The sequence below is a fragment of the Homo sapiens genome, chromosome 5, assembly GCF_000001405.40.
Source record: "Homo sapiens chromosome 5, GRCh38.p14 Primary Assembly".
In the NCBI taxonomy this organism is placed as follows: domain Eukaryota; kingdom Metazoa; phylum Chordata; class Mammalia; order Primates; family Hominidae; genus Homo; species Homo sapiens.
The window spans coordinates 160,281,745-160,296,895 of NC_000005.10; the positions used below are offsets into that span (position 1 = coordinate 160,281,745).

Below are 15,151 nucleotides of genomic sequence, written 5' to 3' on the forward strand. Positions count from 1 at the left end.
GGCTCAAGCAATCCTCCCACCTTGGCCTCCCAAGTAGCTAGGACTACAGGCATTCATCACTGCACCCAGCTAATTGTTTTTGTATTTTTTGTAGAGACAGGGGTCTCATTGTGTTGCCTGGGATGGTCTCAAACTCCTGACCTCAAGCGATCCTTCCCACCTTGGCCTCCTAAAGCGCTGGGATTACAGGCCTGAGCCATCAAGCCCAGCCTAGACACTACTTGTTTAGGAAATGTCTTTGCAACATTTTGCCAAAGAAGGAAACTAAAAAGAAGTAAAATTGAAGGAAAACAGGAAATAAGTTGGCAGAAAAGGAATGTGAAAGCTCACTTATGGCAGGCTCACAACGGGATGAGATCGAAACAAATTGGTGCCCCTCTTCTATAGAAAACCTCTCTCTTAACCCTGGGGCTTACTTAACTAGCAGCAGATCCAGGACTAGAAAGGGATATCTGCTCATTCATTCATTCATTCATTCAAGAGCTATTCATTCATTTTACTCAGTAAGTATGAAGTACCTTCTCTACACTGGGTGTTATTCTAGGCACTGGGGATGCAATCTGGAATAAGATAGACATAGACATAAACGTTAAGACTTACAACTATAAAACTCTTAGAAGAAAACAGGGGGAAATCTTTAATGGCCTTAGATTAGGCAATGGTTTCTTAGATATGACACTAAAACAAGAAGCATCAAGGGAAAAATACATAAGTTGAATTTCAAAACTTAAAACATTTATGCTTCCAAAGATACCATCCAGAAAGAAAAAAGACAACCTGCAAAATGGAGGAAAATATTTGAAAATCACATGTTAATAAAAGACTGTATCCAGAACATACAAAGAACTCTTACAGCTCAACAATAAAAAGGCAAACAACCCAATTTAAAAATAGGCAATGAACTGACCAGACAGTTCTCCAAAGAAAGTATAAAAATGACCAACAAACACATGAAAAGGTGCCCAACATTACTAATCATTAGGGAAATGCAAATTAAAACCCTGATAAGATACCACCTCACACTCATTAGAATGGTTGTTGTAAAAAAAATCAATACAAAACTGAAAATGTATATACAAGTGCTGGATAGGGGCAAACTGGAACCCTCATATACTGCTGGTGGGTAAGTAAAATGGTGCAGCCACTGTGGGAAACAGTCTGGAAACTCCTTAAAATGTTAAACGTAGGGTTCTTAAGTGACCCAGCCATTCCAGTCCTTGGAATATATATATATATATATATATATATATATATATATATATATACATATATATATATATATACCTAAGAGAAATGAAAACATATGGCCACACAAAAACTTGTATATGAATACTCACAGCAGCATCATTCATAACAGTTCCCAAGTAGAAACAACTCAAACACTTATCAACTGATGAATGGATAAACAAAATGTAATGTATCCATACAACAGAATATTACACATGTTACAGCAGGGGTGAATCTTGAAAACATTATGTTAAGTGAAAAAAGCTAGTCGTAAATGGCCACATATTATATAATTCCATTTATATGAAATGTCCAGAATAGGCAAATCCATACAAACAGAAAGTAGATTAGTGGTTGCCAGAGGTTAGGGGTAACAGTTAATGGGAAATAACTGCTAATGGGTATGGGGTTTCTTTTTGGAGTTATAAAGCTGTTCTGTCATTAGATAGTGGTGATGATTGTATAGCTCTGTGAATACACAAACAACTAAACTGCATATTTTAATTTTTTTACTTTTAATTTTGTGGGTACATAGTAGGTATATAGATTTGTGTGGTACAGGAGACGTTTTGATACAGGTATGCAATGTGAAATAATCACATCGTGGAGAATGGGGTATCCATCCCCGCAAGCATTTATCCTTTGTGTTACAAACAATCTAATCACACTCTTAGTTATTTTGAAATGTACAATTAAGATATTGATTATATTCACCCCGTTGTGCAATACAATAGTATGTCTTATTCATTCTTTATATATTTTTTGTACCCATTAACCATCCCCACCTCCCCCACAACCCCCACTACCCTTCCCAGCCTTTGGTAACCATCCTTCTACTCTCTATGTCCATGAGTTCAATTGCTTTGATTTTTAGATTCCACAAATAAGTGAGAACATGTGAAGTTTGTCTTTCTGTGCCTGGTTTATTTCACTTAATACAATGATCTCCAGTTCCATCCATGTTGCAAATGACAGGATCTCACTCTTTTTTACGGCTGAATAGTACTCCACTGTGTATATGTAGCACATGTTCTTTATCCATTTATCTGTTGATGGACATTTAGGTTGCTTGACTGCACGTTAAAAAAGCTAAATTTTGGCTAGGTGCAGTGGCTCACACCTGTAATCCCAGCACTTTGGGAGGCTGAGGCGGGTGGATCGCTTGAGTTTAGGAGTTTGAGACTAGCCTGGGCAACATGGCAAAACCCCATTTCCACAAAAGATGAAAAAATTAGCCTGTTGTGGTGGTGAGTGCCTGTAGTCCCAGTTACTTAGGAGGCTGAGGTGCAAGGATCACTTGAGCACAGGAGGAGGAGGCTGCAGTGACCCGAGATTGTGTCACTGCACTCTAGCCTGGACGACAGAGCCAGACCCTGTCTCAAAAAAAATTAAAATAAAATAAAAGTGAATTTTATGATATGTGAATTGTTATATCTCAATAAAGCTGCTATAAAAAAACAAGACAGACGTTATCACCCACAGTCATGGAGTCCACAGTCCAACAAGGGAGAGAGGTGGCAATCCAGCAATAAGACAGTTGCAGAATTCCAAACTGTGATGAACTAATACTGCAAAAGAAAGCCACAGATGCTCTGGGAGGCCCCATTGTCTCTGAGGGGAGGGAGGCCTGCCTCCTGAAAGTGAGGCTTGAGTTGAGATTTCACACTGATTACTTCTCCTCTGGCCTGATCCTCCAGAGAGCTCAGAGACCAGGACTCAGCTATTTTTCGCAGTCCTAGAGCTTTGCTCATGGAAGGCTCTCAAAGCCTGAATAAATTACTTCTTCTCCCTTATGTTTATATATGAAGAAATTGAGTTTCAAAAAGTCCCTGAGTCCCTGGGCTTTATCTAACTAGCAAAAGATCTTAATTAGAAGACTTTCAAAGTATCCCTTTTTTCAACTTTTTTTTTTAATTGCTTGGGCTTACCAGAAAACTTTTTTATTTTTATTTTTTTTAAGTCATGGAGCTCGGCTGGGCACGGTGGCTCACACCCGTAATCTCAGCACTTTGGGAGGTCGACGGGGGTGGATCACTTGAGGTCAGGAGTTCAAGACCTCAGTTCAAGAATTAGCTGGGCATGGTGGCACGCTTCTGTAATCCCAGCTACCCAGAAGGCTGAGGGAGGAGAATCACTTGAACCTGGTAGGTGGAGGTTGCAGTGAGCTGAGATCGCACCACTGCACTCTAGCTTGGGTGACAGAGTGAGACTCCATCTCAAAATCAATCAATCAATCAGTCATGGAGCTCTTTTAGCCCCAGCTTAACTTCTTTAAGGAAAAGACCTGATGTGCTTGTGTATTCTTCATCTTCATGGTTTGATGAATTTATGCAGCCACCATGGAGTTCAAACTCCTTGAGGGCAGATCTGGGTCTCCTTTGCACATCACTGTTACTTCAGCACCCCAGTGTGAAGAGAACAGGGTTAGGTGCCCAATAACTAATTGCTGAAAGACAGAAGGGGTGGGGAGGGAGGGAGAGGCAGTAAAGAAAGCAAGGAAAGAATTGCAGTGGTGGATACAGAAGGTCCTGGCCAACAGAGGGAAGTCGTGGCCAACAGAGGGAAGTCGTGACCAACTCTACAGAGTAGCAAGTCCATGGGAACTTCAAAGAAGACAGATTGAGCCAAGTTGTACAATTTACCTGTTGAAGATGCAGGAAAGGTAAGGATCTCTCACTAGGAGAAACAGCACCTGCAAAGCCACACAAGTGTCCCATCTGGGGAACAGCCAGCCAGGCAGGGTGTGCCTAGACACAGGCTGGAAACGTGGGCAGGGGCCCAGCTTGCATGCCCTGTTGAGAAAACTGCCTTGCCCTACTCTGAGGGCAATAGAAACTGAAGGGATTAGAGCAGATCATTGGCCTGGTCTGAGCAGCCTTGCATAGAGATCTTTTGGCCAGCTTCTTCCTAGGGTAAGGCCAGACAGCTGGTAGCAGCAGCCAGTGCGGGGCGGCAGCTCCTCTCAACAGTGCTCCTACCTTCCAGCAGCCCCTACAAGCTTGCAGACTACGTGGGTATTTCCTCTAAGCACAGGGCTCTAAGTTTAGGGTCATGACAAGCAGCAGCCACAGTCATAGATCCTTGGTGTCTGGTGGGCTGCAGCTGCCGGAAATTAGACTTAGCCAAGTGACCTTTGGCCGGGCCACGCTGCCTTCATCAGTGCAGTCCAAAGCCCCCAAACACAAGTCAGATAGGCAACGTCTTGACCTCCCTCCCCACTCAACTGGCCAAGCTCAAAGCCTTCTAGATTTTCCCTTGAGCCAAGTGAGAGAAGAGAACTCAAGGCAACACAAAGAACGTCTTTCCTGTACGTGTTCCTGGGAGAAGCGTCCTTTGCCTTGAGCAGATTCTCAAAGAAAGACATTGGTGCATAAAAGAAAAAGTTATGGACCAGGTGCAGTGGCTCATGTAATCCAAGCACTGTGGGAGGCCAAGGTGGGCGGATCGCTTGAGGCCAGGAGTTCAAGACCAGCCTGGTCGTCATGGCAAAACCCCGTCTCTACTAAAAATACAAAAATTAGCTAGGCATGGTGGTGCACACCTGTGGTCCCAGTTACACGGGAGGCTGAGGCACGAGAATCACTTGAACCCGGGAAGCAGAGGTTGCAGTGAGCCAATATTGTACCACTGCACTCCAGCCTGGGTGACAGAGTGAGACTCTGTCTCAAAAAAAAAGCAAAGAAAAGAAAAAAGGAAAAGTTATGGACCACTGGAATGCATAGCAATATATGGCAAGTAGGGGTTAGTAGGTACAGCGTGCTGGAAGGGGCTGGTCTCAAGAGGGCAGGATTTTGAAGCTAGAACACTGGCTCCCTGGGATGCTCTTTCTCCCTGTTTCTGTTTGTCCCTCAAATACTGACTTAAATGTCACTTCCTAAGACTTCTCTGACCTCTCCATCATTCCAAATCAGGTTCCCCTTATTCTCTTGGTAGTCTTCTCTTTGTGGCCGAAAATTTACTTATTTATGTAGCTGGCACAGATGCAGACATTCAATAAATATGTATCGAATAAGAAAGAATAAATACAGAGTCACTCCCTGTACCAACCACCTCACCTCCCGCCCCCACATACCGGGGATTAGCTTGATACCTACAGAGTGTGAGGTCAGGCAGTTCTGGGTCGGAATCTTAGTTCCACTATTTACCAACCTTGGGCATGTGAACTGACCCTCAGTGTCCCTATCTGAGAAATGGGGGTCACGCTGCCGTAAATGTAGAGTATTTGGTGTTAACAGCAGCTCAGCAAGCCTAGTGGCCCTTCCTCTTCCCTCAAGCTGGGGAATCAAGTCTCAGAGAAGTTGAATTGATCTATCTCTGTCAAAGGCTCTTTGGGCTTTCAAAGAAACCTGCTTTGAGAAATGTGCAATGAGGCTTTCTACCTTTGAGCTGAGGTGCCTCTGTCAGTGTGTCCTCTGCAGAGCCCTCAAACCAAGTAGAATTAGCAGCTCTGAGCCTCAGCTTGTTCCCCTCACTGGGAAAAGGGAGATTCTTTGTCATGGAAATAACAATGTAGGACTGCAGCATGCCTATCCTGTTTAGTTTGAGAATCTAGCTGATCACTTCGCTAACCCAATTAGGGGGTGCAGGGAAGGCATTCATTACAAGGGCTTTGCTCTAAGGGACTGCATTCCTCCCCAGGCACTCTTGACCTAAGTCCACTTGAAGGCCGCAGCAGCGCAGTGCAGGAAGCCAGCCCCTCTGCTGAGTGGCCTGGATTCCAGAAACAAAAGAGCAGCCTGCCCTAGGGCGGCTTCTAAAGCTCTCCCCAGATTAGGCAGGAGCTTGGCAGGCATTCAGCAATCAGGCAGGCGCTGGGCGGGCAGGAACCTGGCCAGGCAGGGTGACCTTCCCCTCAGCATGCCTGGCAGGGCCACAGGCGGTGAGAGTGTGGGCAGCAGAAAGGCTAGGGGGAGGCTGTAGAAGAAGGGGGCTGAGGTGGGAGGGGAGGGAAGGGCAGAGGCTTCCTGATCACTCTCCCTCCCCAGCTGTTGGCCCTTGATCACCTGACTCAGGGAAGCCCATCTGCCGCAGGAGTATCTAGAGATGAACAGGTGGAGGCATGGACAGATGGCCATGGTGGAGTTCCGGGAAAAAGAAATCCACCTTACAAAAACCCCTGCTTTTGTCATCACAGTCCTTTATTATTATTATTATTTTTTAACATAATAGCTACGGGCTAGAAAAAACTTAGAAAAGATACATCAAAATATTAACAGTGGCTACGGAGGAGAGGTCGGGATGGGCACTGAGATCTTGCATTTTCACGATCATGCTTTTCAACAGCCTGAATTTTTCAAAAATGCTCAATGCATAACCACTTTATTACTTCAGTTACTATGTTTTCAGTTTGGAAACAAACAAAAAGACTAGATACCCACTGTGTTACAAGGCCCAGCTCAAAATTTATCCCTGAGGATTTCCTAGCAACCCCACATCATCCCTTTAACAAAATCTGCCCTGTCATAATAACACCCCATGCCCAGTAAGTATCCCACTTCATCTTCCTACAATGCAAAGCCCCTTCCAGAAGGAATTTTCCATTTTTTTCTTTTCCTTTCTTTTTCTTTTTACTAATTATAAATTATATGTTCACTGATGAATCTTAAAAAGAATAACCAGCCAGGTGTGGTGGCTCACGCCTGTAATCCCAGCACTTTGGGAGGCTGAGGCGGGCGGATCACGAGGTCAGGAGATCGAGACCATCCTGGCGAACATGGTGAAATCCTGTCTCTACTAAAAATACAAAAAAATTAGAGGCTGAGGCAGGAGAATGGCATGAACCCGGGGGGGCGGAGCTTGCAGTGAATGGACATCGTGCCACTGCACTCCAGCCTGGGCGACAGAGCGAGACTCTGTCTAAAAAAAAAAAAAAAAAAAAAAAGAATAACATCACTCATATTCCCTCACTTAGAAGGATTCAGACAGAAGTACTACTAGGTTCTACCTGGATTCTTCAGATATTTCTTTGTGCAAACTCTCATAAAATGCCATAGCGATCTACAACTGCTTCCCACTTGCCCCTCAGAGAGCATGGGAAACAATGTCTGCAATGGCTGCCTAGTTTTCCACCGTAAGGTTGTGCCATGACGTCATCAAACCCAGATTTTGGGCATGTGGGCTGTTTCTCTTCCTTCAGGTCCCTGTTCAGACCATTCCTCAGAGGCCATCCCTGACCTCCCTCCTACCCAGCAGCCTCCTGTGGGCTTCCCACCGCCAGCAGCCACTGCACATTGAAGCATGTTTAGGAACTGTCCCCTGCCCCCCACAGAAGGGGGTTTCCATGAGGGACGGAGCTGCTTTTCTCTCCTGCCCTTGGCCATACCCTTGGTCCCTGGCACAGAGTAAGTACTAATGAGTAGCTGCTGGCTCAGTGAATGGACGTCTGAATACATGGAGAGTGTTTTGAGGAATCTTCCCTCTGCCTGTGGCCCTCTATGCCCTCCCTTCCTCTCGGGACTCCCTTATCTACCCTGGCTTCCTTCCTTAGGGTAACCCATGGCAGAGGTCACTGCTCCCCAAGTGGGAAACCCCACTGTGACGTGTGAGCCAGCATTTCTGAGACCAGAGGAGCCATTCTGGGGGAAGGAGAGGTGGCTGCCCCTTTAGAAACCACTCTCCTTGCTGCCCAAGAGTTTTGCCTGGGGGTTCTCAAGCAGAAAGAGGATTACCTGAGAGGGAAAGTGCCCCGGAAAAGGCCAAGGACTCATGAATCACAGCCCACCTAAAGCCCCAACCTAAGCTACACGGAGAGACAGAGAGGCAGCAGGGCTGCCTGGACAGGTCTCTGAAGATTCCAGGCATGTGTCTGGTCCTTGGCTGCTTTTCCCAACCCCCGTCCCCAGGTGCTGACCTTGGCAGAGTGACAAACACTTCCCATACCTGTGCTGGGCTCAGACGTGCCCGGGAGTGCAGGTGAGGCCAGGTGAAATGCAGTCACTCAAGACCCTGGGCCCACGGCCAGATGTGCAGGGCAGAGACTGCCCCCAAGAGAACCATACCTATCACTGCTGCATAGCCGGGGAGGGGGAGGAAAAAATTCAGCATGTGCTCTTCACACACAGGCTTTGAAAGCATTTTGAGGCTAACCTCGGAGGGGTTAGAAGGTGACTTGTACTATGAAAGTTCCGCCAGGCACCCTTGGTTTCTTCTATTAGGGGAGGAAGTGAAGTCCTCGGTTTAACTTTTAGTGTCCTGCACTGCATTATTTTCTTCTAATTGCCTTGAGGTTTTACTTCTCATTATTAATCCACTTTTCCTTCAGATCTCAGCTTAAAAGTCACTTCTTTTTTTTCTATTTATTTAATTTTTTTTTTTGAGACAGTGTTGCTCTGTTGCCCAGGGTGGAGTACAGTGGCACGATCTCAGCTTACTGCAACCTCCGCCTTCTAGGTTCAAGAGATTCTCCTGCCTCAGCCTCCCGAGTAGCTGGAATTACAGGCACCCACCACCACACCCGTCTAATTTTTGTAATTTTTAGTAGAGACGGGGTTTTCACCATGTTGGCCAGGCTGGTCTCGAACTCCTGACTTCAAGTGATCTGCCTGCCTCGGCCTCCCAAAGTGCTGGGATTACAGACATGAGCTACCATGCCTGGCCTAAAAGTCACTGCTGAAAAAGGTGTTTCAGGCTCATGCTTCTGTGAGATCCCCCCCAAGCACCTAGGACTTTTTATCTACTCATTCATTTGCTCTTACTGTCCTCCTGCCTGCTAGACTGTAACCACCATGAGGGCACAGACTGGGCTTGTCTTGTTCAGCTCTGTGACCCCAATACCTGATGCAAAAGGAACACCTGATAATTACAAAAACCTCCATATTTCAGGAATGGCAAATACTTAAACAGGTGAGAAAAAACATTATTTGTTCCTGATCTTAGGTTGTATAAACCTATTTATCATAATAAGCAATTCCCAGTACTCATGAAGACCAGCGAGGAGGCATAAGAAACAGGGCAGGGGCTGGGTGCAGTGACTCACACCAGTAATTGCAACACTTTGGGAGGCTGAGACAGGAGGATCGCTTGATGAGACCAGCCTGGGCAACATAGAAACACCCCGTCTTTACTTAAAAAAAAAAAAAAAAAAAAAAAAAGAAAGAAAGAGAGAGAGAAAGAAAGAAAGAAAAGAAAGTAAGTGAGGGAGTTGGATTCCAGCAGAAAGAGAAAGCTCTGTCCTTGCCCTGGGGTGACATGTGCCTCAGTCTACCCAAGAGCAACAGTGGGTTTCCACGGAAGAAGCGGGTCAGTGTTTATGGAGAAGTGGAAGCTTCAAAAATTATAAACTGTGCACCTAGCAGTCATTTTTCAAAGGCAATGTTTCCTAATGTGTGTTCTGTGGCACACTAGTCCCAAGATATGCTCCCTGAAAAAAAGGGTTCTGTGGGCCACAGTTTGGCGAAACATCGCATACTACATTGCTCCTTAAAGGAAGCCTATATTAGCCCAGTAGAGGCCCTGAAACATTTGTTCGTCAAAAAAATAATATAACTTTGGAAAACTCTAGGCTGAATTTATCCACAGGACACTCCTCCTGCCCTCCTCCCTCTTTGGGGGCAGAGTAACATCCCAGAAAGCTGACTCTGGGAAAAGGTGCCTGAGGGTGCCAGCTACGGGGCACCTGGTATGCCAGCGAAAATGAAACTGCAGTGCATCCACAAGGCGAGACTTGCAAAAATCCCTGGCGTGATGCCTAATAATTCAATGATTCTAAACCTAGAGATTTACTGAAAAGCTTGCCGAGATTAAGAACCACAGCTTTCACCTGCAGAAACGCCCTAGTAAGAACGTCCACATGGCCATGGCATCAGGAGCCTAGGAGAGGCTTACAAAAAGCGCATGGCAGCTCACAGAAGCCCCAGGCAGCCAAGTGCTGGGTGTCCTGCCTTGGGAGGTCCAGGTGCCCATCTCTTATATATTATGTATATAATATGGTGATTTCCCAGGGGTGGGGAACCACCAGGTTGTTTAAGGAGGGGTGAACTGGCCCGACTTGGAAATGGAACAGGTCAAAACCCCCATGCTGATCACTATTGGGATCATACCTCTGAATACGCGCTGCATTCAAGCCTGGGCATCACAGTAAGACCCCGTCTCTTTAAAAAACAAAACAAAACAAAAACACTAAACTGCTTCCTCCGTGGAAACCCTCTGTTGCTACTTGGTAGACCGAGGCACACACCATCCTAGGGCAAGGAAGGACACAGCCTTCTCTTTCCTCCGAAATTTAGCTCCTCCAGCTTCTCATACCTTCCCGCAAGTCTTCATGAGTATTTGGAATTGCTCATTATGATGAATAGTTTTATAGAGCCTTATGAGATATATAGATATCTCTATACATACAGATAGATATACATTAAAAATATTTAACTTGAGGCCAAGCATGGTGGCTCATGCCTATAATTCCAGCACTTTGGGAGATTGAGGTGGGAGGATCACTTGAGGCCAGGAGTTTGAGACCAGCCTGGGCAATTTAGGGAGACCTCATCTCTACAAAAGATAAAAAATTAGCCGGGCATGGTGGTGAGCACCTGTAGGCCTAACTACTTGGGAGGATGAGGTGAAAGGATCATTTAAGCCCAGAAGTTTGAGGCTGCAGTGACCTACGATTATGCCACTGCACTCTAGCCTGGGTGACAGTGAGACCCTGTCTCTAACGTGTATGTATATGTGTGTGTGTATATATATGTAACATGTGTGTGTATATATATATAGTAGTTTTATATATATATATATAACTTGAAAGTCTGTATGTATATATACAATTTAATATTTTTTTCTATAATTTGGCAGACACTGCATTCCATGCATCTTGTACTCTAATTCTCCAACAGACCCACAAAGATTGGAAGCTTCAAAAATTATAAACTATGCACCTAGCAGTCATTTCAAAGGCAATGTTTCTCAATACATATTCTGTGTCACACAATCTCAAAATATGCTTCTTACAGAAAAGGGTTCTGAGATTACCAGCATCCCTACATTACAGACAAGGATGGCTCAGAGAGACTAAGTAACTTGCTTAAGATCACCCAGTTAATAAATGGTGAATCTGAACCTGGGTCTTCTGACTCTACTGTTTTCTAGACACTATGTTCTCAAAACACTGTGTTCTAACCCTCCATGTGATAGTTTAGGTTTGTTTGTATTTTCCTTTCAAAATAATGTTTTAGGCTGGGCATGGTGGCTCACACCTGTAATCCCAGCACTTTGGGAGGCCGAGGCAGGCAGATTACCTGAGGTCAGGAGTTCAAGACCAGCCTGGCCAACATGGTGAAACCCCGTCTCTACTACAAATACAAAAGGATTAGCTGGGCGTGGTGGTGCACGCCTGTAACCTCAGCCTCAGCTACTTGGGAGGCTGAAATAAGAGAATTGCTTGAACCCGGGAGGTGGAGGTTGCAGTGGGCTGCATTCCAGCCTGGGTGACAGAGCGAGACTCCATCTCAGAAAATGATAATAATAATAATGTTTTATTTAACTGATTATAAAATACTTAATCACTATAGGAATTTTAGAAAATACAGAGGAGCACAAAGAGAACTAAAGTCTCCAGCAATTCCATCAGCACGTAAATACTCGGAGAATGTACACATGTCGGCATGCGCATGTCCGGTCCTGTTTCTCTGTGCGCACGCATGTCCACTTCTCTCTCTCTCATGGGACTATCTCCTCCCTTACAACTAGAACGTAAATGCTATGTGCATTTGCTATCTCCCCACACCCACCCTCCGAGGTGGAACCAGCACTAGCCCTAGTAGCCAGGAAACTGAGGCACAGAAGTATAACTGCCAAGGCCACACTGCAGGTGAGTGGTAAATCTTGGGCTTGGACATCAGAGGAGCGGGCCAGGGCTTGGGGTATGACAATACTTGGAGGGCGACAACCACTTCGTAAACAGCTCAAGGTGCAGTAAAGCAGGGCTGAGCTGCTCTCAAACACCAGCCACCAAGAGAAACCACTCTGCTTTCCTCCTCCAATCTCCCTACCATGCCTATCCCTACTGCTGCCAACAAGAGCCCGGGAATCCACGCCCTGGGTTGAGACAACAGCTAGAGGGGTCTTGTCTAAGAACAAAGAACCGCAGAGAGGTGAAGAAACACCATGTGTAACCAAGGTGACCAACAGGAAGTGGAGACTTGCAAATGTAAAGTGGCAAAGAAAGGGGGAGAAAGGCTGGCTCTTCAGAGGCCTCAGTACACAGCACGACCTGGGAGGCCCAGCAAGGCAGGAGGCTCACCCTCCTTCCTCTCTCTGCCCCGATTGCTTCATAAGGCCCAAGGAAGCATTTTCCGTAAAGCATCAACACCTCTGTGGGAACACTATTTCAACATTCTTGAGAGGGTGGCCCGTGTCACATAAGGCCAACAATGCCCGTAACGTCCCCTCCTGCTGAAGTCCAGCCTGTAGCTTCCTTCCAGCAGAGTGAAAGGTAACCCAGGCACCACATCCGCAGCCGGCGTCTGTACTACTCCTGGGCAGATGGCAGGCAGGCCAGCTCCAAGCACACCTCCTCATTCCCGGAAGCCAGAGCCACTGCCCTTCTGGGCAAACTCTGTACCAGGCCCAGCCACAGCTGCCAGGGCATCCACAGTGACCACACACATGCGTGCACAACCCTCACTGGTCCCCCATCCAACCCATGGCTCTGGGGCCTCCAAACACCCCCATACACAACATTCATGGCCTTTTTAAAAGACGCCACACCCTCCAACTGAATTCTTTACTTCTGCCAGCTTCCTACAGGACCGCATCCCCCATACCTTCTGGAGTGGAGGACTGGGGTGCCCCTCATCCTCCCACGCCCTCTGTTATCCAGGGGAAGAGGTCCCGATGTCCCCCTCCATGCTGGTTCTCTGTCACAGGTCCAATTCTTGGATCTCTCCGCTTTCCTCCTGGATCACTCTGTGGAGTGGCTCCAAAGCTCTTCCCTCCACACCTCCAGCTCCTGCCCCCGATTTCCAGATTCCTTTTGTGGATTCTCCTGGGAGCTTCGACCCTAATGAGAAGCCCAAAATGGGACAGTAGGGTGACTGCACCACTACCCCCTCGCTGCGACTCTACTTCCCTACCCATCTACAGTCCAAAGGTTTCTCAAATGGGTTGCCAGTTGACCACACGCATTCAAATCCCCTGGGGACCTATTTAAAAAGGGGGTTCCCCCCCGTACTGGGATGAATAGTATTTCCCTGACAATTCTTGTCTACTCAAAACCTCAGAATGTGACCTTATTTGAAAATAGTCAGCCGGGCACAGTGGCTCACACCTGTAATCCCAGCACTTTGGGAGGCCAAGGAGGGCGGTTCACGAGGTCAAGAGATCGAGACCATCCTGTCCAACAGGTGAAACCCTGTCTCTACTAAAAATACAAAAAATTAGCTGGGCATGGTGGTGCACACCCGTAGTCCCAGCTACTCGGGAGGCTGAGGCAGGAGATCTCTTGAACCCGGGCACTGGAGGTTGTAGTGAGCCGAGATCGCGCCACTGCACTCCAGCCTGGGCGACAGAGCGAGACTCTGTCTCAAATAAATAAATAAATAAGAAAATAGAGTCTTTACAGATGCAATCAAGTTAAAATGAGGTCATATTAGATCAGGATAGGCGCTAATCAGTGTTTTGTGTTCTTATAGGAAGAGTAAACAGAGACAGAGACACAGAGGGAAGACGAGGTGAGGACAGACAAGGAGGAGAAGGCCTTGTGAAGATGGAGGCAGAAACTGGAATGATGCAGCTACAAGCCAAGGAAGACCACGGATAAAATGCCAGCTGCTGCCAAATGATAGAAGAGCAAGGAAGGACCTTCCCCTAGAGCCTTCAGAGGGAACCATGGTCTGCTGACACCCCGATGTCAGACTTCTGGTCTCCACAACTGTGAGAGAATAAAGCCCCAAGTTTGTGGCACGTTGTCACAGTAGCCCTAGGGACCTAATACACCCTCTATTTCCTGTCTCACCGAATCAGAATTCCTGGGGATGGAGCTGGGCACCTATCTATGCTTTACAAGTTCTCCGCTTGAGCCTGATGCTCAACTATAACCTCCATGACACAATTTTTGTTCATCCCCAATTGTGTACACAATTTTTGTTCATCCTGTAGGCAGTGGCTAGCACAGTGTGTAGCATGCAGTTGGCTGCTAAAAACAGTGTGTTAAATGCAGGAATAAACATGCAGATATTCAAGAACCACCAGTGCCTTGGTCAGTACATTTAACTCATCCTTTTTCTTTCTGAAGCAACTTTAATAATCAAGCCAGATAACATACACAAGGCACTTAACAGTTGCTAGCACTCTGCAGGTGCCCAATGAACATCAATTCCCTTCACTTACAGGGCAGAGGGAGTCCTTCAACTGACAGTTTCCAGAAGGGGCCCTCCAAGAATAATGTTTACTATGAAAAAGGCTGAACAAGCTCAGCTAAGGAAAGTTACTTTGTTCCAACTAGCAAGAAACTTGAAATCTTCCACGCTTTTTGTTCGCTGGTCCTTTTGACCCTATTGTCTACAACCTGTCAAATATCCTCACTTCCTCCCCTAGTTCAGATGCCATCGCTTTGGGGCGACTGCAATAACTGTAATAACTAGTCTCTGAGGCCAGGGTGCATTTCCAGGGAGCTGGCACTCTCCTCCCCACCCTTCCCATTGCCCTCCATGGGTTCTCAGGATAAGGTTCAAACATCTAGGAAGACCCACATCCTCTAAGCCAGTGTTCCTGGTGCATCTCCTGGTCCTCCCCACAACTGACCAGGCTGCCCCTTGCAGGCCGCTAATGCTTGACTCTCCCTAGCTGCCCTGGACCCTGCAGAGAGATGAACTTCACACCTGTCTCTGCCTGGCAAACTTCTACTCATCCTTCAAACCCAAATCAAACAGCACCTCCTCCTTGAAGCTTTTTAAGACTTCCTTGGGCAACTGGACCTGTCTTTGGTATAGCG

The 15,151-nt window shown here is 46.5% G+C and overlaps 1 protein-coding gene across 7 annotated transcripts in view, besides 3 other annotated features; it reads right to left on the minus strand.

The window, feature by feature from the left end:
- CCNJL (cyclin J like) overlaps positions 1-15,151 on the minus strand; it is a 90,488-nt gene that overhangs the window by 32,662 nt on the left and 42,675 nt on the right. The window lies entirely within an intron of this gene.
- Positions 3,678-4,411: an enhancer, noted in NCBI's record as "H3K27ac-H3K4me1 hESC enhancer chr5:159712429-159713162 (GRCh37/hg19 assembly coordinates)". NCBI's record gives its function as "activates a minimal SCP1, AML or CMV promoter by ChIP-STARR-seq in naive H9 embryonic stem cells {active_cell/tissue: H9 hESC(naive)}" and the evidence as "EXISTENCE:reporter gene assay evidence [ECO:0000049][PMID:30033119]".
- Positions 4,412-5,145: an enhancer, noted in NCBI's record as "H3K27ac-H3K4me1 hESC enhancer chr5:159713163-159713896 (GRCh37/hg19 assembly coordinates)". NCBI's record gives its function as "activates a minimal SCP1, AML or CMV promoter by ChIP-STARR-seq in naive H9 embryonic stem cells {active_cell/tissue: H9 hESC(naive)}" and the evidence as "EXISTENCE:reporter gene assay evidence [ECO:0000049][PMID:30033119]".
- Positions 6,660-7,637: an enhancer, noted in NCBI's record as "H3K27ac-H3K4me1 hESC enhancer chr5:159715411-159716388 (GRCh37/hg19 assembly coordinates)". NCBI's record gives its function as "activates a minimal SCP1, AML or CMV promoter by ChIP-STARR-seq in naive H9 embryonic stem cells {active_cell/tissue: H9 hESC(naive)}" and the evidence as "EXISTENCE:reporter gene assay evidence [ECO:0000049][PMID:30033119]".